Source organism: Homo sapiens, chromosome 22 (assembly GCF_000001405.40).
Source record: "Homo sapiens chromosome 22, GRCh38.p14 Primary Assembly".
NCBI classification, from domain to species: domain Eukaryota; kingdom Metazoa; phylum Chordata; class Mammalia; order Primates; family Hominidae; genus Homo; species Homo sapiens.
Window position 1 is genome coordinate 45005121 of NC_000022.11, and position 25187 is coordinate 45030307.

The following is a 25187-nucleotide window of genomic DNA, read 5'->3' on the forward strand; positions in this document are numbered from 1 at the left end:
AGGGCTTGTTGCTTGACAATTTAGATAAAAATGTTACTGCCCCTGCATGTGCTGCAATCTCATGGTGTAAACCACTGGAGCAGCTAATGGAGTCTTCACACATCATATCTTGTTAAAGAAGAGGGCCCTCCACTATCTGAATCACAGCCCAGCAGCAAAGTGCAGCCACACCTGGGAAGGCAGCTTAGCTGGCCTGGGCCTGGCCACAACTCATCAGCTCTGACCAACTATCCTATGCCTCATTTTTTTTTTTAGTGGAAAATATGAACTTCATTTTCAAATAGCAAGGTCCTATGTAAACTCACTTCCTGTTAATTCCCTAGTCTCCGAATGGTAGGACAAAAACTAGACAGTTACACAGAAAACATATCTCTATCTACCCTGACCAATAAGCTATCTACCACTATGAGTCCTTTAAACACCTTTACACACTTGTCCATGTTTCTTAAAGTAACTGAGAAAAACATCGCGCTAAGGGCATGAATGAGAAATTCATGGTTGGGCCCTGAAAGACAGGATTCCGCTGCTGGCGTACTGCTAACAGACCTGGATAACGGGGTCATCTGTTCATTTTACTATCTAGTTCATCATCCACATGTGCACTTTTAATTGAAACTTAACCTTTATATCCGATGTTCCAGCACAGAAAACATCTCTGGAGGTGGAGATGGTATAAGCGTTTCCCTAAGCGACTCTCTAAAAGAATTCTACCTTTAATTTTCTGTTGAGTTAAATAAACAAACTGTGACACACTTGCCTTTTCACCTCCACTCCCCCATTTCGGCTCCTTCTGGGCAGGCTCTGGGGTGACCAAGTAGAGGCCTCTTCAAAACCCTAGTTCAGCCCAGAGTCACCTCCAAAGGCTTGTTCATCGACCTTTCCCCAGCTAAGCTGCCAATCACCACCAAACTCTCCCAAGGAGAGGGAGAGGGGAGTAAATGTTAAGTCTCCCTAACTCATTTCATAGGTGACCTCTGAAAGATTTCAACGCAGAGCCTGGGAAAGACAAGGCGGCTTTATTAGCATGCTGAACCACGGCCGCAGCCCCCTCCCCTCCCTCTTTTATGAGCCCTTGTTATATAAAATGCCACAAAGGGAAATGGAAAAACAACACCCTCGCAGTTAAAAACACAAGTTCCAATGGCCAGGCCAAATCCTGGCTGCTTACCCAATGTTGTTTAGTCATTTAAAAGGGAAACATTTCTAAAAGGCCGGAGAAAAAAAGTTTTCCTTGCTTTCTTTCTTTTTAAACACACACTCACACACACAAAAAGATGGAGGTCAGTTCGCAAGCAAGCCTCCTTCCCGGAGTTCAAATTTAAAGGCAAAGGCAGCCCGGAGTCGGAGAGCTCCTTCCCGAAGCTGCCGCAACCTTCAAACAGGATTTTCAAATGTTTCTTTCGGCTTATCTAAATTCCGGCATGACAGATAATAAATAGCGACTCATTTACTATCATCATAAAAATTTAAACAGCCTCGAAATAGTTGCTACAATACAGAAGAAATGATCAAACCCAAGCTCAGAAGAGTCATTCCAAATAGTAAAACTACTGCCAAGCAGAAACATAAAGAGACATTGTTCCAAGAAAAGCTCCTAGGTTATTGGATTTTTTCTTCTTCTCTCTCTCTTTTAAATCTTCTAGGAGCGTACGAGTCAACAACTTGCCGTTTTACCCAGTGAAAAAAGGGCTTAGTAACCCTCAGCTATCACACTGGACCAGATCTGGTGGCAGATTTTTTTTTTTTTTTAAAGAAAGTATCTGATTTGATTCTACGCAGTGATTAAACAGCTTTGTGCTCTGCGGAAAAGGGTCTTCCGACCCCTCCCCCTCCAAAAATGGCATCAAAGCAATCAAAATGGTAATGCAGGGCCTGGGTCCCCTCCCCCCGCCAACTCCCCGACTTCGCCGGGGCCGCGCGCCGGGCCCCCCTCCGGCGGGAATGGAAGCTTCCACTCCCGGACGGGGGCGCGCGGCCGGGGGCGGGGGGGCCGCGGCACCAACTGAAAAGGGTTAGCGCATTTGTCCCAAGCCTTCGGTCCAGCCCGGCGGCCCAGACCAGGCGCGGGCCGCGGCACTGCCATCTTCCTTTCAGCAAGCCCGGCCCCCCCCAAAACCCGCCACTCGCGCACGCCCCCTCCCATCACTTTTTAACTTTAAAGACTCGACACGAACGCCCGGCCTCCGAATTCTCTCTCGCCAGGGTCACCGGCAGCCGCCCCAACCTCGTCCACGTCTCTCCCCTACGCCAGAAAATCCCCCGGGGGAGGGGGCGTCCGATCCGGCGGCCCGGGCTGGGGTGGGAGCGCGGGGGCAGGCCCGGGCGGGGGCGCGCGGGGGCGGGCCCGGAGCTGTCCAAGTTTGGCGCTGGCGGCTGCGGCCGGCATTCCGAAGGAAACGCGATCGATGGCCGGGGGCGCGGCGCGGGCGGGGGCGGGGCGCGAAGGAGGGAGGGAGGGGGCAGCGGAGGGAGGGAGGGGCGCCGCCGCCCCCGTGCCCGCCACAGCGGTGCCCCCAGCACGCCATTGGCTGCGCCGCTCAAAGTTCTCGGCTCGGGGCTGCGCGGGGAAGGGGCGGGTGTGCGAGCGCGGGGAAGGGGCGGGTGTGCGAGTGCGGGGAGGGGGCGCGGCGGGGGAGGGGCAGCGGAGGAGGGGCGGGAGCCAGGGGGCGGGGGCGCGCGGCCGGCCGGGCTCTGGCGGCGGCATCTGTTCGTGGTGCTGAAACCCCGAGCGCTGAGCTCAGCGCAACTAAGTCACAATGGACAACTTTTCCTCCCCGGAGGGGGCCCGGAGGGGGGGGAGCGGTCGCGCCTCCGACGCGTGGGAGCTTCTCAGGTGTCCCCAACTACACCTAACGCCCGGAGCCCAAAGTTGGAGCAGAACTGGGGAGTCCCGGGGGCGCGTTTCTTTTGTTCCCCGGGAGCTGGCGTCAGGTTCCAAGAATAAAAAGTGAAGCTAGGGAAGTGGAAGGTGGTGGGGGGGAGGGAGCCTCGAGGAACGATTTCAAAACGAGGTTTGCCACGGAACCCAGAAATCGCTTCCAACGAGTTTGGTGTCCAGGCCCCCACGGCCGCCCCCCTCCGCCCCCATGGCCGCCTCAGCGCAAAGCGGGGGACTCCGAGCCGGGAGAAATCGCCACGTTCCAAAAACATGTCCACCACCTCAAAATGGACGCCGGGCCGCGCGCTGCCTTTTAAGTGAGCTCCTCTCTTCGGCCCCCGCAGGGCCCGGCTCTCCCTGCCGCCTCCGAGAACCCGGCTCTTTCTTTCCAGGAAAGGGGAGGGGTGGGGAACTTTGAGAACTGGAGACAGACCCCTCTGGGAGTCTGAGCGTGCGTCGCCCAGGCTGGCACTTTTTAGGGCGCCGCCAAAGTGCCCAGCCACCCTCCCGCCCCATCCCAGGGGGGGCCGCGATCCCATCGCTTACTTGTTTGTCGCTGAGCGCGGCGATCCGCGGCTGCCTTTCGTGGAGCTGCTTCTTGAGGTCGCCGTTCTGCGGAAACACGGAGGAGCGGGCTCAGGCAGGCCACCCGGGGTCAGGTGCACCCCAGCACCGCGGGCCGCGGCACCCCCCGCCCGGAGCCCCACGGGCGGGGCCGGCCGCAGCGCACCCCAAGTTTCCCGGGCCGCGTCCTGCACGCGCGGCGGCCGGGCAGTGCCGCGCGGGGCCGCTTACCTGTGGCTGCCGCCTCATCGGGGCAGCTCGCGGGGCGGGGCGGGGGCCGAGGCCACCCGGCGGCGCGCCCCGAGCCGTGCAAGTTTGCAGGCCGGGGTGCGTGTGCGAGTGAGTGTGAGTGTGAGTGTGTGCCGGGGGAGGGGGGAGGAACAAAGAGCCAAGTAAACACGGCGAGTCCGTGTCGAGCAAAGCTCATAAATATTCAAGTCGCGTCCTAATCTCCCCAACACACACACGCGCACGCCGAGCCCCGCTCAGGCTCCGGCCGCCACGCCGCCGCTCGCCAGCAGCGATCGCCAAAACTACTTCTGCACACCGGGCAGGTTCGCCCGGGGCGCGGGGGCCCGAGGGGAGGCCGGAAGGGGGCCTATTCGCACTCCCCTCCCCGGGACCGGCTCACGAAGGGGCCCCCTCCAGGCACCCTCCCAGTCATGCAGACCCTACATCGCTTAAGAGAAGACTCCAGGCTCGGGTCCCACGCGTCCTCGATCCCGCAAACTGTGCAGGACAGCGCCAGGGGCAGGCGGAGGGGAGCCCAGAAGGGGGTCCGCGCGTGTGCTCACTCCCTCGCCCCCCGCCCCCGGGCAGGCTCCAGCCTGGAAGACCCAGAGACCCGGAAGAGAGGATGCTGGGCTCGGGTCCCCCGACCCCCTCACCCCGCAACACACTCCCCGGCCCCGGGCCCGGCCCCCGGCCACCTACCTGGTGGCGCGCGAGTTCCACGGCGAGCGCCTCGGGCCGGCTCTGCAGCTCCATCCCGGCAACTTGGGCAGCACTTTGCGCTCACTTTGGCCCGGGCTCCCGGGAAGTTGCGCGGCTCCGCGGGGGCCAGAGCGGGCGCGGGCGGACGCGGCCTCCGGGCTGGGTTGGGGGGGACACGAGCCCCCTCCCCCACGGCCGAAAGGGAAGGGGGCTGGCGAAGGGGAAGACAGGCTTCCGGGCGCCGCGGCGCCGAGCCCTCGGCTGCCCCAACTCCTCAGGCTGCCCGGCAAGTTGCGCCGGGTCCCCGGGCTGCCGGCGCGGCCCGGAGCATGGCCCCCCCGGCGCCGGGAGCCCCGCGCAGCCCCGCGCGCGCCCGCCCAGCCGCCGCCGCCGCCGCCTCCTCCCGCGCGAGCCTCCCGCGGGCAGGGACTATATTTCCTCCGGCGCGCGCGCCTGGATCTCGTTGGGCCTCGGCAAAGTTGTGCCTCGGCACGATGCTAATTCGGCAGTGCCCGGATGGAGCGGGCCGGGGCGGCGGGGGGCGGTGCCGGGACCCTCAGCCCGCCGCGCCCCGCCCCCGCCCCGCCCGCGCCTGCGCACTGCCGCCCCGCCGCGGCCCGGCACCCCGAGCGGAGAACAAAAGTGGCGGTGGACGGGGACGCACGGTCGCCGGCTCCGGGGACTGCTCGGGCCGGGCGCTCGGAGAGGACGACTGCGGAGTCATCCTCTCCGTCCCCGGGCCAACCCGGGGAACGCGGCGCCCCCACCCCCTGCGCCGTGTAACGCCGGGATCAGGACACTTTCCGCTGGGAGGCTGCGAGTCCGTGTTTCCATTTCTCCTCACCCTGGTCCTCGGCTCCCTCCTTTCCCCCCTCCTCCGCCTCCCTCTGATATTTTATTTAAATTCTTCCGTCCCCTCCTGTCCATACCAGCGCCGCGACTTGGGGGATTAAATTAGTCGCGTCGCCACATTCCCCCGCCGCCTGATGGCCTCCGTGTTGTTTAAACAGCAAGAAAATTGATCTCTTGGCTCTTCCTTTAATGATTTTTTTTTACACGATTAAACTCTCAACAGATGTCACTGGACATTTTAAGACTCTTGTTAAGAGTCGTAAACAGGCCCGGTCAATGCGACCTAAAACAATTATAATTACAGCTGCGGAGGTCGCGTTTCAGAACCCCCAGCCGCGCAGCCAGGAGGTTAATGTCCCAGAGTCACTGTCACCACCTCGGGGCTGCCATCTTCATTCAGGTCGGAGTGCCGGGTGCCCTGTTGGCAGCAAACTGGCACGTTTGAAACACGCTGGGGAGAAAGGGTGCAATCATATGTCAAAGTAAACGTTTAAGCTGTTAAGTCGTTTTAACTTCAGATTCCTCTCCGGCAGCACAAAAAATACCCAAGCAAGCACCATCAGCAAATGTCCCTTTCAACATATGCCAACAGGTCACACATTGCTTTTGTTGGCAGAAGTTATTGGAATTCCCCCTTTTCTTTCTTTTCTTTTTTTTTTTTTTTTCAAGTGAGGACCCCAGTGTTGTTCTGCTCTCTGTTAGGGAATTTGTAATAAATTACGTGTTTGGGACCCCCAAACACAGATGGCCCCTCATCCCACAACCCAGCACCTCGCCTTCAGAGCACGACAGAGTGAGACTTAGGATATGAGTAACTATGCAAAAAGCAGAGGGGCATGTAGATGACCCTTACTTTAACCCAAATTAGTTAACAGAAACTTGCAAACAGCGCTTTAAGACTCCATAGGAGGCCGGCCGGGGGCGGTGGCTCACACCTGTAATCCCAGTACTTTGGGAGGCCGAAGTGGGCAGATCACGAGGTCAGGAGTTCGAGACCAGCCTGCCCAACATGGTCTCGACTAAAAATACAAAAAATTAGGCATGGTGGCGCAAGCCTGTAATCCCAGCTACTCGGGAGGCTGAGGCAGGAGAGTTGCTTCAACCCAGGAGGCAGAGGTTGCAGTGAGCCGAGATTGCACCACAGCACTCCAGTCTGGGCAACAGAGCAAGACTCTGTCTCAGAAAAAACAAACAAACAAACAGAAAAGACTCAACAGGAGGAGCCACTACCCTCCGGCCAGCATCTGCCTGAATCTGTGTGGGCCGAAGATGACCTGAATAACCTCTGTTGATTTAATTACGTAGGTTAAATATGTGGGTTACGGTAAGGATCATATACATGCCCCTCTGTTTTTTGCATAGTTACTTACTGTGTGAGTCTCATTCTGTCGTGCAGGCTAATGTGCAGTGGTGAAATCATAGCTCACCACTGCCTCCACCTCACCTGCTCAAGCAATCCTCCCACCTCAGCCTCCCAAGTAGCTGGGACCACAGTCACACCATAAGCCAACACTGGTTAATGTGGATGCAAAACTAGCCCGTGTTTGAAGTGGTCGTGATTCCTTTGGTTTTGCCCCAAGCAGGGAGAAGCAAGGTTCCTCAAATGCAAAACAAAGAGGCTGACTCAGGGTGCCCCAATAGGTACCCACTCCTCCCACTTCTGGGTTTAGCCCGGGTCAGGGTGGTGGCCTCCCTCCTTAGTGCTTTTGCTGGGCTGAACACCAGCCCAGGAAAGTGGACTGCCCTGGAGACCCATGCTTGGAGAGCCAGAGAGAAAGTGTGCAGAAAGAGGATTCCTACTGTAATCTCTGTAAATGCCACTGGCTTCTTGGTAAAAATTCAGAGTAATTTTATCAGCCACGTAGGGTAATTAAATCAACAGAGGATATTCAGGTCATCTTCAGTCCACACAGTCTCAGGCTGATGCTGGCCAGAGGATAGTGGCTCCGACTGTGGAATCTTAAAGCACTGTTTAAGTGCATGGTGTAGCAAAAGATCCGACAGAGACAGCAGAGACACAGGGCCCCTGTGTTAAACACAGAGCGAGAAAAATGACTGACAGGCAAAGGAAGGGTTAATTCTGAGAGGGGTGGTCTGAGAGGGGCTTGTCAAGAAGTAACTTGAGCAGAGCCTTGAGAATGTAGTAATACTGTTTGTTCTGAGTTTTACCATCCACATGGCACTCTTCATACCTGTTGTCTCCTGCCCTCGTTGAGTTCCGGGGGTAGGTCTGGTATCCCTATTTTACAGGTTAGAGGACTGAGGCTCAGGGCATTAGGTTACTTACAAGCCCTGTTGCCTGGAATTGGACCCACAGACTCAGGCAGCAGAGACCTGGATAGATGTGTAGCCTCTTCCCCGTCAGGGCTGGGAGATCTGGGCCAGTGGCTGAGGATGGATTTGCTTCCAGAGAAGAGCAGGCATAAGCCATGGGCCTGGGGTAGGCTGCAGGAGGGATCTCAGGGGGCCTGCAGTGCTCACTGGAGGAGAAAAACAGGACAGAAAAGATGGCAGGACCAGACCCCAAGGTCCTACAACACCATGCTGGGGTTTTAAATGTGTTATGTGGACAAGGGGACCTGCCCAAGGTTTCCGCACAGGGGTATGAGACATGACCAGGCCTCTGCTCAGAGATGACCTGGTGGTAATGTGAAGGATATGGTGGAAACTGGATGTGGGGGCCAGTCAGGAGATGGGGGCCATGGTTAGTGAGAGAGGCACCTCTCTTGAGATTGGGGAGGGGGAGAAAAGGAGGAGGCCAGTGCAGATTTCTGGAGCCACCAAGGCCCCAGTACAGAGGAAGTGGGAGGGGGTTTGAACCTGTGGCGTGCGGTTCACCCACATGAGCGATTTCTCTGTTGGGGACACAAGTTTTCCTTTAGTGTTACTGCTGCAGGGACCACTTACCGAGAGCCTTCCCTTTCCCCTCTGTAGTAGGCATTCTTCATGCCTTTTGATCCTATGGAGGTGGGTATATTTATCCCCACTTTACAGATGAGAAAACTGAGGCTCAAAGTGGTTCAGTAACTTTCCCAAGCTGCACAGCTATAAATGGGGTACACACCCATATCAGGGTCATAGGACAGCCCTGTCTATGCCTCTTGTCTGAGTAATATTGAATAGCGCCCCTTTCACTTTTTTTTTTTTGAGATAGAGTTTCATTCTTGTTGCCCAGGCTGGAGTGCCATGGCACAGTCTCAGCTCACTGCAACCTCCGCTTCCCAGGTTCAAGCGATTCTCCTGCCTCAGCCTCCCAAGTAGCTGGGATTACAGGCACCCGCCACCACGCCCAGCTAATTTTTATATTTTTAGTAAAGATGGAGTTTCATCATGTTGGCCAGGCTGGTCTCAAACTCCTGACCTCAGGTGATCTGCCCACCTCAGCCTCCCAAAGAGCTGGGATTAAAGGCGTGAGCCACCATGCGTGGCCCCACTTACACTCTTAAATGGGTCCCAGCGGCCGGGCGCGGTGGCTCACGCCTGTAATCCCAGTACTTTGGGAGGCCGAAGCAGGTGGATCACGAGGTCAGGAGATCGATACCATCCTGGCTAACACGGTGAAACCCTGTCTCTACTAAAAATACAAAAAATTAGCCAGGCATGGTGGCAGGTGCCTGTAGTCCCAGCTACTCGGGAGGCTGAGGCAGGAGAATGGCGTGAACCCGGGAGGTGGAGCTTGCAGTGAGCCGAGATCGCGCCACTGCACTCCAGCCTGGGCAACAGAGCGAGAGTCCGTCTCAAAAAAAAAAAAAAAATGTGTCCTAGCTTGGATGAAGTCTATGGTCAGCCCGCCGTAGGGCATGGAGGCAGGATTCCCCCTCCACTCTGCCTGACTCCAGAGCCTGCTCTCTTCCCAATTCTTCACTTTGTCTTACACAGGCACTGTGCCCTTGGTCTACGACAGTAGCCAAGGTCAGGAGTGGCACCGTCTGGAGCCTGGGATCCCGGTGCAGAGGGCTCAGGTCCCAGCAGGGTCAAGCCACAGAGCCGACTGCAGCCTCACAGACTGTCACTGTCCTTCCTGCAAAGCAGGTGGCCAGGGCTTGTTCACCCACAGTAGAGTTGGGACATATCTGCCAGATACCGACAGGCTCTGACCTATATAGCCTAGCAGCCCCGTGCGTCTCCTTTGATGTTGTTGGGTACCTCCAGTCAACATGCCCCAGTCTGGGCTCAGCACCCTGGCCCAGCGCTCTCCATCTCCCAGGCAGCTGCACCCAGAGCCATCCTCTCCTCTCTCACACCCCGTAGCACGTACACCCCTGGTGTTCCTGTGGTATGATAGGAAATGTATCTGGTCTTTGTTCCCAAGCTCCTAAAACCCTTATTGTCTGAGTGATAGGACTGTCTTTTGTTCTTCATAAGGAGCCCCTTGAGGTCACACCTGAGTTTATGCTAATGAAGGGACTGAGGGTGGGCCCAGTCACCAGGCGGGAAGAGCTGTTGTCCTGCTAGACCCTGGCTGCCTTCTGCTAAGCTGCCTGGAGGCGGAGTGAATACCCAAGGGCTGGGTAGAGCCCCTCAGCACAGCAGGAAGGCACAGTGGAGGCTCCGAGGATGCTGGGCCAAGGCTGAGGCTCCTGAACACTTGAGAGGGAGAGGACAAGGAAGGAAGCCAGTGTGGCCAGTGCCCATCACCATGTGTGCCCGGCCCAGGCTGGGAGGCTGTTTCACATCATAACTCACTAAGTCTCCATGCTTCCTTCCACCCAAGAGGCAGATGTAATTACAACCCCCCATGGAGGCATTGATCTCAGGCCCCCCTGCAGATACCGAAATCCATGGATGCTCAAGTCCCTGATATAAAATGATGTAGTATTTGCATATAACCTACACACATCCTCCCATGTACTCTCGATCTCCTGACCTCGTGATCCGCCCACCTCGGCCTCCCAAAGTGCTGGGATTACAGGCGTGAGCCACCGTGCCCGGCCTGTATTATTTTTAATTGTTTTTTTAAATTTTTTTTTCCAAGAGATTTTCAATCCAGGCTTGGTGGAATCTGTAGATGCAGAAGCTGCAGATATGGAGGATCCACGGTGCTAACTTTAGCTAAAGGACTTTTTTGTATTTTTAGTAGAGACGGGGTTTCACCATGTTGGCCAGGCTGGTCTCAAACTCCTGACCTTAGGTGATCTACCCGCCTTGGCCTCCCAAAGTGCTGGGATTACAGGTATGAGCCACCACTAAAGGACTTTTTTTAAAGACCAGAGAGACACACACCTGTAGTCCCAGCTACTTAGGAGGCTGAAGCAGGAGGATCACTTAAGCCCAGGAGTTCGAGGCTGCAGTAAGCTATGATCCCACCACTGCACTCCAGCCTAGGAGATAGAGTGAGACAACCCTGTCTCAATAAAAAATAAATAAATAAAAGGCCCAGAGAAGATAATAATTTGTCCCAAGTCTTTGTACTCAGACAGGCTCCTGTTTAAATCCTGACTGTGGGCTAGAGTCAGGATTTACACTGGAGCCTATGTACAAAGTCTGTGATTTTTCTCCTGTTAGCCCTGGCCACCTCCCTTTCTAGGTATGATCCATCCTGCTGTTATTACAAGTTCAGGGCCAAAAGGCCTTTTGGAAAGTTGTCTTTCTTTTTTCTTTTTTTGAGACAGGGTCTGGCTCTGTCACTCAGGCTGGAGTGCAGTAGTGCAATCTTGGCTCACTGCAACCTCTGCCTCCGAGGCACAAGCGATCCTTCCAGCTCAGCCTCCCTAGTAGCTGGGACTACAGGTGCACACCATCACACCTGGCTAATTTTTAATTTTTTTTGTAGAGACAGCAGTCTCGCTATATTGACCAAGCTGGTCTCAAACTCCTAACCTCAAGCAATCCTCTCACCTGCGCCTCCCAAAGTGCTGGGATTACAGGCGTGAGTCAGACCTGGAAGGTTGTTGTTCTATTCCCAGATACATTTTCTTATTTCCCCAGCAAACAACAGTACAATTTTCAAAGGCAGAATTCAAAACCCAGGGAAACCAACCCCAACTCCCAGGGATGCTTCGTAAGGACGTTTCTGTATTGGCTCCAGCGGCCAGTTTCAGATGAGCACCCATGCAGCCAGCCAATCATCAATACAACAAAACATTGTGGCACTATTAGAAAGAATGTTCTCGACGCTTGACCCATGCTAACTGGGACCCACCTGCCCTGTGGGGTGACGAGCTCCTCGTGACTGAAGATGATTTAGCCAGGCTGCTCTAGAGAGAACAGTATTTTGTGTTTGTTTTTTTGTTTTGGTTTGGTTTGGTTTTGGTTTTTTTTGAGATGGAGTTTTGCTTTTGTGACCCAGGCTGGAGAGCAATGGCGTGATCTCAGCTCACCGCAACCTCTGCCTCCCGGTTCAAGCGATTCTCCTGCCTCCGCCTCCTGAATAGCTGGTATGATACACACACACCACCACACCCAGCTAATTTTGTATTTTTAGTACAGATGGGATTTCTCCATGTTGGTCAGGCTGGTCTCCAACTCCGGACCTCAGATGACCTGCCCGCCTTGGCCTCCCAAAGTGCTGGGATTACAGGCGTGAGCCACCGCGCCCCACCGAGAACAGTATTTCTTTGCCTTCATGATATATCCGGTTTCCTCCTCTGGGATGCTTGGTTCTACCTCCTAAAACTTGCAGTTTCAGTTGGAGAGATTAGACATGGAGTTATGTCTGTAAAAATAAAAATAATACCAGCTAACATTTTATATACAGCTCACTACGAGCCAGGTCTCTTCCAAGTGCTCCCTGCACATCAATGTGTTTAATCCTTATAATCGCCCCATCTTAGAGGTGAGCAAATTGAGGCTCAGAAGGGCTACATGGTCTCACAGGCACACCCCTGTATGTAGCACAGCTGGGGTTCAGCCCTGTCCTCTTTGCAGTGCACCTGGGCAGAGAAGTGTAGAGGAGAGATGTCCTATTCTAGTGGAAGTGCCTCAGCGATGGTGCTTCCTTGCATCAGACACTGCTCCAGGAGCTCAACCCGCGTCACCTCTTTTAATGCCCACGACTCTACGACTGTCAAGATCCCCAATACACCGATGAGGGCACTGAGGCATGGGGAGAGATCTAAGGGTCTTGTCTTCCATCACTTGGCTGGTCAGTGACAAGACGGGGACTCTAACCCTGAACATCTGACTCCACCGCTTGGCCTTGCTATAGGAATGCGGAGAGAACATCTGAGCAAGAGATGATTCTGAGCAAACAACCTTGGGGCCTCCTGCTCTGCAGTTCCTGTTTTTTTAAACCATTTTATTGAGGTACGATTGGCATCCAAAAAGCTGTACTACTTAATGAGTACAACTTGATGAGTTTAGAGATAACAATACACCCAGTGAAACCATTCCCACGATCAAGGCCATAAACATATCTGGCATCTCCAAAAGTTTCCTCCCACCCTCTTAAAAAATTTTATTTCTTTGTGGTAAGAGCACTTAATATAAGATCTACCCTCGGATCACCTGAGGTCAGGAGTTTGAGACCAGCCTGGCCAACATGGTGAAATCCTGTCTCTTCTAAAACTACAAAAATTAGCCAGGCGTGGTGGCACACACCTGTAGTCCCAGCTACTTGGGAGGCTGAGGCAGGAGAATCGCTTGAACCCAGGAGGTGGAGGTTGCAAGGAGCCGAGATTGTGCCACTGCACTCCAGCCTGGGCGACAAGAGCAAAATTCTGTCTCAAAAAAAAAAAAAAACAAAAAAAAACAACTACCCTCTTAGCAGATTGTAAGTGTACAGCATGGTATTGTTAAGTACAGATCCACGCTGCATGGAAATCTCCCGTTCATTCCTCTGTCTCAGCACCAGCTGTTCCTCCATGCTATCGGCTCTTTAAGAACAGAGGGCCGGGCGTGGTGCCTCACACCTGTCGTCCCAGCACTTTGGGAGGCCAAGGTGGGCGGATCATGATGTCAGGATTTCAAGAGCAGCCTGGCCAACATAGTGAAACCCCGTCTCTACTAAAAATACAAAAGTTAGCCAGGCGTAGTGGTGGGTGCCTGTAGTCTCAGCTACTTGGGAGGCTGAGGCAGGAGAATCTCTTGAACCCGGGAGTCAGAGGTTACAGTGAGCCGAGATTATGCCACTGCACTCCAGCCTGGGTGACACAGTGAGACTATATATAAAAAGAGAAAAAAAAAAAGAACGGAACTGTGCAAAACTAGGCTGGGTGCGGTGGCTCACACCTGTAATCCCAGCACTTTGGGAGGCTGAGGCCGGTGGATCACTTGAGATCAGGAGTTGGAAACCAGCCTGGCCAACATGGTGAAACCCCATCTCTACTAAAAATACAAAAATTTGCCAGGCATGGTGGCACGCACCTGTAGTCCCAACTACTTGGGGGACTGAGGCATGAGAATCACTTAAACTCGGGAGGCGGAGGTTGCAGTGAGCCGATATCATGCCACTGCACTCCAGCCTGGGCAATAGAGTGAGGCCCTGTCTCAAAAAAAAAAAAAGAAGGAGGAGAAGGAGAAGGAGAAGGATTGTGCAAAACTAGCATCTCTAGAGGATTTTCAACTCACAAGCAGTGAGTAGGTATATTACGTATGCTATTTGATTGTCTGCTTATAATAGCTCTGAGAGATGTGAACACTGAGGTGAGGTGATGTTTACTAGCCCAAAGTCACCCAGCATATATGTTGGGAGCCCTCTACCTGAACCCAGGTCTGGGATCCCCAAAACCCAGCTCTTAATAATTCAAGAGGTCCAAGAACAAAGGAGGAAGAGGAGGAGGAGGGAGGCTCTCCAGGACTCAGCAGTAGAGTAGGAGGGAGATCAGGGGAAGCGGAGGGAGCCTCGTGCTGGGCCTGCTTCTTGGGTCTTTCTTCTGGGAGGTGTGCACAGCGTGCTGACAGCCTCCTTCAAACATCCCTGCACCACCTCCCACCCTCTATCGGGAAGGAAGAAGCTTGGGGTGGGGGAGGCTCCCTTGGAAGTGGGTTCAAGGCCTGGCAGCTGCCTGCAGGCTCCTTGCTTCCCTCTGGGAGTTTTGGTTTCCTCCTGGGTAAAAGCAAGTTGATGAGATTAAGGGGAAATTGCCAGGGAGAGAGGGCTGCCTGGTGTGAGGTGGACCCCACCTGCCCAGGAGTCTCTCTGTGGGCATCACAAAGACAGTGCCAGCTCAGTGACACCTGAGGATGTCTCTGTCCCAGGGCCCCTATTATTAGCAAAGCCTTCCTCATTAGCACTTTCACACCTACATCATCACAGATTTCCAATCAGCTGTTCAATTCTCTTTTGAGAAGGAGTCAGTGTTGTACATATTGTAGGATGCCCTTTAAAAGGAAAAACATGGCCGGGTGCAGCGGCTCACACTTGTCATCCCAGCACTTTGGGAGGCCAAGGCAGGTGGATCACCTGAGGTCAGGAGTTCGAGACCAGCCTGGCCAACATGTCAAAACCCCATCTCTACTAAAAATACAAAAATTAGCTGGGTGTGGTGGTGTGCGCCTGTAATCCCAGCTACCCAGGAGGCTGAGGTAGGAGAATCACTTGAACCCAGGAGGTGGAGGTCGCAGTGAGCTAAGATTGCGCCACTGCACTCCAGTCCAGGAGACAGAGTGAGACTCCATCTCAAAGACAAATACAAATATAAATAAAAGGAAAAACATTTTTCTTCAAACAGGGTGGACAGGCTGACAGGCAGGTCTGGGAGGGGCTGGGGCAGAAGGGGCTCTGCTTCCGGCGGGGCCCCTGGGTGGGAGCCGAAGCAAGGGCTGCAAGTTTGGGTCAGAGGTCCAGGTAAAGAGCGGGGTCACGCATTCGCCCCTGCGTGCTGCTCTGAATCTGCCCTGGTCTCGACCTCTCCGGGGTTGTGATGCGGCCCCCTTGATGTCCCTCCAGCGCCCTGTGTTTGGAGGAAGGGACCCAAGCAGCCCAGGTGGCTGAGGTCAGGAGGACTTCGCAGCCTGGCTCTGTCACCCACAGGCAGAATGGCAAAAACAAGCTGCCTGCTAAGTCTCAAATTCTCCACCTTTAAATTGGGGGTTGTCCACCCAGCAGGCAGCTATGGAGCAGCCACTATGTGCCAGGGACTGCTGGCAGAGGGAACATCAGGTTCCTCCCTCTAGGGAATGGAGCAGCTCCCTTCTGGTGAGGCAGCTAAGTGAGCCCTGTGGTGGGTGCCGGGATAGACCATCCCAGGTGGATGCTGGGTAGAGAGCCTGGGCAGGAGAGAGCCTGGCCCCTCGGGAACTGCTCGTGGTAAGTGCAGCTGATCCCAAAGTACAGACAGTACACCTGGAGGCAGCCAGCTGGCAGAATCCTGGTGTCAAAGGCTAAAAACACAGGCCTTGGAGGGTTTGGGGCAAAGACCTGCTGGTCACTGGTGGTTACTTGGCTGCCAGAGGCGAGAGGATTTGGCAGCCCTGACCCTGGAGCTGAGAAACCTGGGGCAGGTGAGCCGGGGGGAGTGAGGGAGAGGGGGGATCCCTAGGTGAGGTGGGGTGGGGGGAGTGGGAGGAACCCTGGGGCAGGTGAGGTGGGGGAGTGAGGAAGAGAGGGGAACCTTAGGTGGGGTAGGGGGAGTGAGGGAAAGGGGAAGCCCTAGGTGAGGTGGGAGCCCTATGTGAGGTGGGGGGAGTGAGGGAGAGGGGGAGCCCTATGTGAGGTGGGGGGAGTGAGAGAGAGGGGGGAACCCTGGGGCAGGTGAGGTGGGGGGAGTGAGGGAGAGGGGGCAGCCATGGGAAAGCAGGATTGGATGAGGTCGGCAGGGAGGCTGGGAAGGTGACAGGTTGGGATGTTACAGCCCTGCTGTCTCAAGGTTGTTTTGGGGGGGTTCTTTGTGAACCATAAAAGGCCAGGTCTCAGCTCAGGAGAGGCCAGCGTCCCTGCACTTTCTGCCCTGTGCTGGGCTGGAGGGCATTCCCTCCAAATTTTCATTATTTCTGGAACCACAGAATATGACCTTGTTTGGAAGTAGAATCTTCACAGAAGTGAAATCCGGATGGAGTCATTCTGGGTTCGGGTGGGCCCTCATCCCATATGACTGGTGTCTTTATGGAACAAGGAGAAGAAACAGAAAGGTTTCTCACAGAGAGACCCAGGGAGAACGCCAGGTGCTGTCAAACGCAGAGGACACCAAGGACTGCCGGCCACACTGGCTGCTGAGAGGCGTGGGGTAGGCTCCACTCTGAATCTCAGAGGACCAAGGAGCAGGGCCCTGCCAACAGCTTCATTTCTTTTTTCCTTTTTTTTTTTAATTTTCATTTTACGTTCTGGGGTACATGTGCAGGATGTGCAGATTTGTTACATAGGTAAATGTGTGCCATTGAGGTTTGCTGCACCTATCAACCCGTCACCTAGGTATGAAGCCCCGCGTGCTTTCCTCCCCCCGCCCCGCCCCCGACAGGCCCAAGTATGTGTTGTTCCCCTCCCCGTGTCTATGTGTTCTCATTGTTCAGCTCCCACTTATAAGTGAGAACATGCGGTGTTTGGTTTTCTATTCCTGCATTAGTTTGCTGAGGATAATGGCTTCCAGCTCCATGCATGTCCCTGCAAAAAACATGATCTTGTTCCTTTTTATGGCTGCATGGTATTCCATGATGTGTATGTACCACATTTTCTTTATCCAGTCTATCACTGATGGTCATTTGGGTTGATTCCATGTCTTTGCTGTTGTGAACAGTGCTGCAATGAACAAATTCGTGCATGCATCTTTATAATAGAATGATTTATATTCCTTTGGGTATATACCCAGTAATGGGATTGCTGGGTCAAATGGTATTTCTGGTTCTACATCTTTGAGGAATCGCCACACCAGTTTCCACAATGGTTGAACTAATTTACATTCCCACCAATGGTATAAAAGCATTCCTATTTCTCCACAACCACACCAGCATCTGTTTTCTTGTTTTTTTGTTTTGTTTTGTTTTTGTTTTTGTTTTTGTTTTTTGAGGATGGAGTTTCGCTCTTGTTGCCCAGGCTGCACTGCAATGGTACAATCTCAGCTCACTGTAACCTCTGCCTTCCAGGTTCAAGCAATTCTCCTACCTCAGCGTCTCAAGTAGCTGGGATTACAGGCATGCGCCACCACACCCAGCTAATTTTGTATTTTTAGTAGAGACAGGGTTTCACCATGTTCGTCAGGCTGGTCTTGAACTCCTGACCTCAGGTGATCCACCCACCTTGGCCTCCCAGAGTGCTGGGATTACAGGCGTGAGCCACTGTGCCCAGCCACATCTGTTGTTTCTTGACTTGAAGACATTCATGCGGCCAATAAACATGAAAAAAAAGGGTCAACATCACTAATCATTGGAAAAATGCAAATCGAAGCTACAATGAGATACCATCTCATGCCAGTCAGAATGACAGCTTCATTTCTGACTTCCAGCCTCCAGAGCTGTGAGAGAATACATTTCTGTTGTTTAAAGTTGACCAATTTATGGTAGTTTGTTACAGCCGCCCTGGGAAACGAATATGCTCCTTTTTTTCTTCTTCCTCAGCCAAGCCTCACCTTTTTTGTTTTTGAGATGGAGTTTCACCCTTGTCACCCAGGCTGGAGTGCAATGGCACGATCTCAGCTCGCTGCAACCTCTGCCTCCTGAGTTCAAGCAATTCTCCTGCCTTAGCCTCCCAAGTAGCTGAGATTACAGGTGTCCGTCACCACACCCAGCTAATTTTGTATTTTTAGTAGAGACAAGGTCTCACCATGTTGGTCAGGCTGGTCTCGAACTCCTGACCTCAGGTGATCCACCCACCTCAGCCTCCCAAAGTGCTGGGATTATGGGTGTGAACCACCAAGCCTGGCCAAGCCTCATCTTATTTCTGGACTCCATCTCCTTTTCCAAGCCACAGTGATCAAAGTCCTGAGTCTCCTTTCTTGAGGGACGGTGGAGGCGGCACCAAATTCGTCTACTTAATTAGCATTCCCCCACTGCCCCCCGCAGACCCTGGCCTTCATGAGTGCTCATTCTCCACTCTGTCAGGTTGGGTCTAACGTCTCCGTTTGGTCTTGGCTATGGGAGATGTGGTCTTCAATCTTGGGGCTCGTTGTTCTCAGATCCTGTTAGTTTTCCTTCCGTGGCCTGTGTTTGCAGGCACAGTCAAGTTTAATTATTTATTTACATAATCAGCACCTACTTTTTCCCAACAGTTCATTGAAACCTTTCAAGGACTTTGGAAACAATCCCTTTTATTCTCATTTTGGTTGGCCGGATGCTGAAGCAGCAGAACGGAACAGAACAGAACGGTGTATGGTTCCGGTTTCACCTGCCCCCACCTCCCTGCTTCACATGCAGATTCTGGGTGAAAGAGCATTTCTTAGGCACCCACCAGGTGTCAGGCACCACGGTGGTCATCTGAAGTTATCACCGTCGGCAGCAGCGGCAGGGCCAGGCTGATGTTTGTAGAATTCAACTCCATGCATCGTGCTGAGGGCTTTTCATGTTCCCTCATCTTAATCCTTCACAAAACCCTACAATACAAGGTAGGTATTATGAACCCCACTGTATAGGTGAGGAAACTGAGGCCAATATACATGGGGTGATTTATCTAAGAGAGCACAGCTGGTAAGCCGTTGTTTCTGACCCTGAGTCTAACTCAGGACCAAGCCTGCTGTGCTACCTTTTACGTGGAAGCTGTGCAGGGCTTGCAAAAGATGCCTAACAAACACTGACCAAGAGGCTGCCCACTGTGGCCTGCGGACATCACAGGTGAGGAGACTGGAGGCCGGGCTTGTAGGTCTGCTTTATCACCCTCCAGGGAGGACCATAAGTAAGAAAATCTTTCAACTGCCATGTGGCAGTCATGGGCGAGTTCTGAGTTATTAATAACACATAATTTTTCAAACGAAGATCATTATCATAATAACGAAAGGTGCCATGAAGAAGTGCTAATTGCAATAATTACTAATTTATTAGGGAGTTAGAAGATGGGTCAAGGTTTGTAAATCAGGAAGGAACGTGTTAGACAAGTACGTGAGAAAACATGTAAAGTTAAAGATTCAGAATGTCTGTCTGAGAGCAGTCAGAGAAGAATTGGAAAACAATTGCTTCCACGAGCATCCCCTCCCTGGGACAGCCGCTGAAATCTCAGAGCCCCTGAAAATGCAAAAAATAAATAAATAAATAAATAATATAATCCAAAAAAAAATAACCCAAGATAGCCTGACCCTAGGATCCATCTATCCAGGCTAAAATGGTAGCAATTTAGACACCGAGCTTGCAACACAAGCTAAACCCAAGGACAGACCAGAGGGCCGTTTTCCATTCCCGTTGCTGCCTGCTACCCCAGTGCCCAGAATGGTGTCTCCCAGAGTGGGTGCTTATATGAACAGATGTTCTCATGATTGTTATTTTTGCTAGTGGTATCATTGTAAATGAACGTCAAGCCTGAGGCATTTCATCCAGCCAACCACAGGCTCCGCTCCTCACTCCCCATAGGTTAAGGCCAATGGAGGCTTTCGTTTGTGTGCACTTACACACTGTGTGTGTGTGTGTGTGTGTGTGTTTATGTGTATGCCTCCGTATGAAATAGAGATTCAACCCGGTGCTAAATAAACCTGCTAACAATTGGAAAGCCATGTACACTGGTGATTTGTTATGAAATATCCAGTTTGAAACCATGCACTCGGCCGGGTGCGGTGGCTCACACCTGTAATCCCAGCACTTTGGGAGGCCAAGACGGGCGGATCATGAGGTCAGGAGATCGAGACCATCCTGGCTAACCTGGTGAAACCCCGTCTCTACTAAAAATACAAAAAAGTAGCCAGGCATGGTGGCGGGTGCCTGTAGTCCCAGCTACTCGGGAGGCTGAGGCAGGAGAATGGCGTGAATCCGGGAGGCGGAGCTTGCAGTGAGCCAAGATCGCACCACTGCATTCCAGCCTGGGGGGCAGAGCAAGACTCTGTCTCAAAAAAAAAAAAAAGAAAAGAAAAGAAAAGAAAAGAAACCATGCACTACAAACCATCCATGTTTGTAAAATCTGACAGATGCTTTCTCATCTGTGAATGTGAAGGTTATGGCCTCCGCCCGTCCTGCCTCATAAAGATTTCAGGAGGGACCCAGAACCAGAGATGGGAAACAATTTCGAGCAGGTGCAGTGCTAACAGCTCATCTCTGTACGTTAATCCAGCTTCTCCATTAACCTCAATCAGGTCCACTGAGTCCCAGGCGCTGCAGGATTGACCTTGACCAGTTCCAGAAGCAGCAAACCTGGGTGTGTGTTGGAAGCAGCCCCAGCCCTGGATCCTAGATATTCTTACATGTAGGAAAAGCATACAATGCACACAAGAACAGGTCCCAAAGAACCTCCCTCCATTATCCTGAACTGTGAGTGCACCTGCTTATACCTCTGCCCCTACCAGCCCATGCCTCTAGATCTACTTTACACCTGCCCAGAGGTTACTGTGCAGCCAGGAAGAGCCATAGCGGCTACCAGATCAAGGCTCTCTACTTTTTTTATTACGGCAAAGAACATGTGAGATGAGGTCAAGATCTTAAATTTCATCAGGGTATGTCTGGGCGAAAATAACAGCTGGATAATGTAAATGACAAGTTGATGGGTGCAGCAAACCAACATAGCACATGTATACCTATGTAACAAACCTGCACGTTGTGCACATGTACCCTAGAACTTAAAGTATAATAATAAAAAGTTTAAAAGGTAAATCATCCCATGTATTCATTCATAACCAGACTCTTTTTTTTTTTTTTTTCAGATGGAGTCTCATTCTGTCGCCCAGGCTAGAATGCAGTGGTGCAATCTCGGCTCACTGCTACCTCCACCTCCCGGGTTCAAGTGATTCTCCTGCCTCAGCCTCATGAGTAGCTGGGATTACAAGCAGGCACCACCATGCCCAGCTAATTTTTGTATTTTTAGTAGAGACGGGGTTTCACCATGTTGGCCAGGCTGGTCTCGAACTCCTGACCTCAAATGATCTGTCCACTTCGGCCTACCAAAGTGCTGGGATTACAGGCGTGAGCCACCACGCCTGGCCAGAAGAAATTTTTATTGCATAAAATGAGAAAGGTGTTCTGGAGACACCACCAGGGCAGGGTTGAAAGTCCCTCCATAAAGAGATTACCCAAGGTATTAACCGCCCATCTCAGCAGAAGCCAGGAATAGGGATGGGTCATATCTGCAGAGACTGCCAGCTTGGACCAAAGGGGAAGAGATGGGATGAAATAAAGTAACATTTTTGGACTTCTGGGGCTCTACAGGACAGGACAATAGAATGATGTGGTGGTGAACATACTTTCTCTTTCAAGAAAAGAGGAAGAATGACTCCAAAGGCAACTTACAGATCGGGGGCTGCCACTTCCACCACAGACCCAGGGAACAAGGCTGTTTCCTCTTCGTTTCCAGAAGACGCAACTTCCACCCGTGGCTTCCAGTAGACCAGGCAGAACCTGCCTAGTGCCTGAGGGGTAGAGCCACCACACAGAGCCCCCAGAGTGGGGCTGCCACAAAGAGACACCTGAGCAGGGTCACCACCCAGGGCTATGCGGTGGGGAGGGGACAACTGCCCCAGTGGGCCCAGAGTCCCAAAGAATTGTCCAGCCAAAGAATTATTTTTGAGCCTAAAATCCAAAGGACGTTGCCTTGCTAGATCTTGTACTTGCCTGGGACCCATCACCCCTTTCTTCCTGGTTTTCTCTTTTAGAATGAGAACGTGTCCTATGCCTGTCCCCACATTGTGTTTGGAAGCACGTATGTCTGATTTCATGGGCTTACAGCTAGAAAGGAATTTTGCCTCAGGAGAAATCATACCTTGAGTCTCACCCCTACATGATTCAAGTGACATTTAGATGAGACTTTAGTCCTCAGAGTTGAGGAATAGTTAAGACTCTTGGGGCTGTTGAGATGGGGTGAAGGTTTTTGGTTATGTATTGTGTGTGTGTTTTTGGACACGAGGTCTCACGCTGTTACCCAGGCTGGAGTTCAGCAGCATGATTATAGCTCACTGCGGCCTTGAATTCCTGGGCCCAAGCAATCCTCCTGCCTCAGCCTCCCTAGTAGCTGGGACTACAGGCACACACCCACCATGCATGGTAATTTTTTATATTATTATTATTTTTTGTAGTGACAGGGATCTTGCTATGTTGCCCAGGCTGGTCTCGAACTCCTGGCCTCAAGTGATCTTCCCACCTCAGCCTCCCTAGTAGCTGGGACACAGGCATGCCTGACTGATGAGGTGAAGGTGTTTTTATGTGTTAGGAACATGAGTTTTGATGGGCCAGAGGATGGCGTGTTATAGACTCAATTGCATCCCTCCAAAATCTGTATGTTGAAGCCCCAACCCTCAATGTGACTGTTTTTAGATGTAGGGCCTTTAAGGAGGGAATTAAAGTTACAAGAGGTTGCAGGAGTAGGGCCCTAATCCAATAGGACTGATGTCCTCATAAGAAGAGAAGAAGGGCCGGGCGCAGTGGCTCATGCCTGTCCCAACACTTAGGGAAGCCAAGGCAGGCGGATCACCTGAGGTCAGAAGTTCAAGACCAGCCTGACCAACATGGAGAAACCCTGTCTCTACTAAAAATACAAAATTAGCCGGGCTTGGTGGCGCATGCCTGTAATCCCAGCTACTCAGGAGGCCGAGGCAGTAGAATTGCTTGAATCCGGAAGGCAGAGGTTGCAGTGAGCCAAGATTGTGCCATTGCACTCCAGCCTGGGCAACAAGAGCAAAACTCCATCTAAAAAAAAAAAAAAAAAAAAAGAGGAGAAGGAGGAGGTGGAAGGGAGAGGGGAAGAAGAGGAAGGGGAAGAGGGGCTGGATGTGGTGGCTCACACCTGTAATTCCAGCACTTGGGAGGCCAAGGCGGGTGGATCCCTTGATGTCAGGAGTTCGAGACCAGCCTGGCAAACATGGTGAAACCCATCTCTACTAAAAATACAAAAATTAGCTGGGTGTGGTGGTGCGTGCCTGTAATCCCAGCTACTCAGTAGACTGAGGCAGAAGAATCACTTGAACCCAAGAGGCGGAGGTTGCAGTGAGCTGAGATCACACCACTGTACTCTAGCCTGGGCAACAGAGCAAGATTCCATCTCCTCTCTCTGGGCACTCACAGAGGAAAGGCCATGTGAGGACGAAGCGAGACAGCGAACTGTCTGCAAGCCAGAAAGACCTCACTAGAAACCAATCCTGATGACCCCTTGATCTTGGACTTCCACCTTCTAAATGAACTTCTGTTGTTTAAGCCACAAAACCCGTGGTATTTTGTTACGGCAGCCCTAGCAGACGAATACATCTCACTTTTGGATGAGGAAACTGAGGCACAGAGAGATTGGGTAACTCATCCACTGGTACTCAGTAGCGTGTGGAACCACCCTTCAGCTTCAGGCAGCCTGGCTCCAGAGCTCCTGCCTGCTCATATCACTAGAGAATAAGAGAAAACAGCCGAGTGGAAAGATCCTAGGCCTTCATGGTACTCCGCAGCCCACCCCACCCTTCTGCCCCCTTGGAACTGTGTTCCCAGTCCTGGCTCTAGGTGTTGGTTATGGTTCTGTCTCCCCTGCCACCTGGAGCCACCCGCTGTGGTCTCTCTGTAACTGTCTTGACACCAGCATTCAATCAACGCTTGCTGGACTAATAATTCCCCAGAGTAATGAGCTCTGCTCTCCTCTGGGCCCAGCCACAGTTGGTTTTGCTCCCTCTACCTCGTGCCATCGTCATCTGGGTCTGTTGTCTGGCTGTCTCACCCAGAAAAGCTCCCTGGGGTTAAGGACAGCGTCCTATCCACACCTGTTTCCCACAGAGCTCAGCCCCAGACCCTGCTGTGGGCCACCCTCTAAGCCCTGTTGGACTGGCCTGAGTGAAGAGGGGGCTGGGGAGGAGTCCTAGGTGTGGACACATTTGCGGTGCTGAGTGTGGAAGTGGCATCTGACTTTTAGAGTCTGAGGGATAAAAATACCTCCGAGAAGAACATGAGGCAGATAGAATGCAAACAGTTTATCTTCCCTTGTCCAGGTGACCAAGGGTGATCGAACTGAACTGTGTCACTCGGCCACCCAGGGGCATGAGCCAAATTTAAGTGGAACCACCTGCCTTGTGCCCCAGGTCCCCAGCCACACCCTACACACACTCTGGACCTCTGCTTAATGGATCTTCCAGGGCTTGTTTGTAAATTACTTTGTGGGTGTGGACTAAGGTGTCCTCGGTATACAGTAGGCATTCAATATGTGCTGGTCCGTGGTTGACTTAGTGCACAACCCTATTGGGATAAGTAGAGAAGAGGGAGACTGGACCCCACCTCAGGTGCATGTCACCTGCCTTTGTCACCTCCACCCGGTTCTCTGAGTCCCTGGTCCTGACAAAGCTTCCCATGTTTAAGCCAGAGAAAGCCATCCAGTGTGTCCAGAGAGCAGCAGGGACTCCTCTCAGTGTCCTGCCCCCTGCTTGCTCGCTCTTTCTCTCTCTACACACACACGCGCACACACACACACACACCCTGACTCAAGTGGAGACATCTTCCAATGTAATCCGATTAAACTCTCAAAGTTAGAAGCGATTGTCAAAGTCATCTTGCTCATTCTCTCAGTTTATAGATGAAGAAAGGTTGGTTCAGAGAACTTCAATTACATCTCAAGTCAGAGGCAGGAGGGGGATTTTAACCTCAACCTCTCCTCTCCTTTCCCGAGACAGAGACAGCACCCAAGAGGCATGCACGCCACCCTGCTTCTCCCGCTCCCAAGACATGAATAATCAATCATGGCTCTCTTCCTGGCTGAGCCTGAACATGGTCCACAAATCCTTATCGACACAGCTTTCCAGGCAGCCACTACCAAATGGTCAACTTGGATTGGACCCCCCACCTTCCTAGCTGTCCCCGGAGCATGTACTGCCCCGGGGTACCTGAGTGTCTGCAATGTCAGCCACAGCCAGAGAACCCTTGGGCTCAGCACAACATTGGAGACTTCAGGAGAGAAACCGCCTGGAGGGTCCTCTGCCATAGACAAGGGTACAGTTCTGGGACTCCATCTCTTCTCTTTGAAGGTGTGTTGTTTTTGTTTTTGTTTTTTTTTTAGAGAGCAGTG

General features: G+C 52.6%; 1 protein-coding gene across 8 annotated transcripts in view, besides 1 other annotated feature; it reads right to left on the reverse strand.

The window, feature by feature from the left end:
- Positions 1-4885, reverse strand: part of PHF21B (PHD finger protein 21B) — a 128844-nt gene extending 123959 nt beyond the window's left edge. For 3 of the 8 annotated variants that reach the window (NR_134535.1, XM_047441109.1, XM_011529855.2), the window contains exons 1-2: positions 4376-4490; positions 3425-3490 (exon numbers count right to left, since the gene is read on the reverse strand). Coding sequence is in view for 5 of the 8 variants with exons in the window: in XM_011529855.2 (XP_011528157.1) it covers positions 3425-3490; positions 4376-4429 (120 nt within the window). In the remaining 3 variants the exon portion in view is untranslated. Of the gene's footprint in view, positions 1-3424; positions 3491-3673; positions 3784-4375 lie in introns of those variants that run through there. The other 5 variants (NM_001413063.1, NM_138415.5, NM_001242450.2 and 2 more) reach the window with 3 other exon arrangements.
- Positions 3264-3865: an enhancer, noted in NCBI's record as "H3K27ac hESC enhancer chr22:45404265-45404866 (GRCh37/hg19 assembly coordinates)". NCBI's record gives its function as "activates a minimal SCP1, AML or CMV promoter by ChIP-STARR-seq in naive H9 embryonic stem cells {active_cell/tissue: H9 hESC(naive)}" and the evidence as "EXISTENCE:reporter gene assay evidence [ECO:0000049][PMID:30033119]".
- Positions 4886-25187: the final 20302 nt, after the last annotated feature.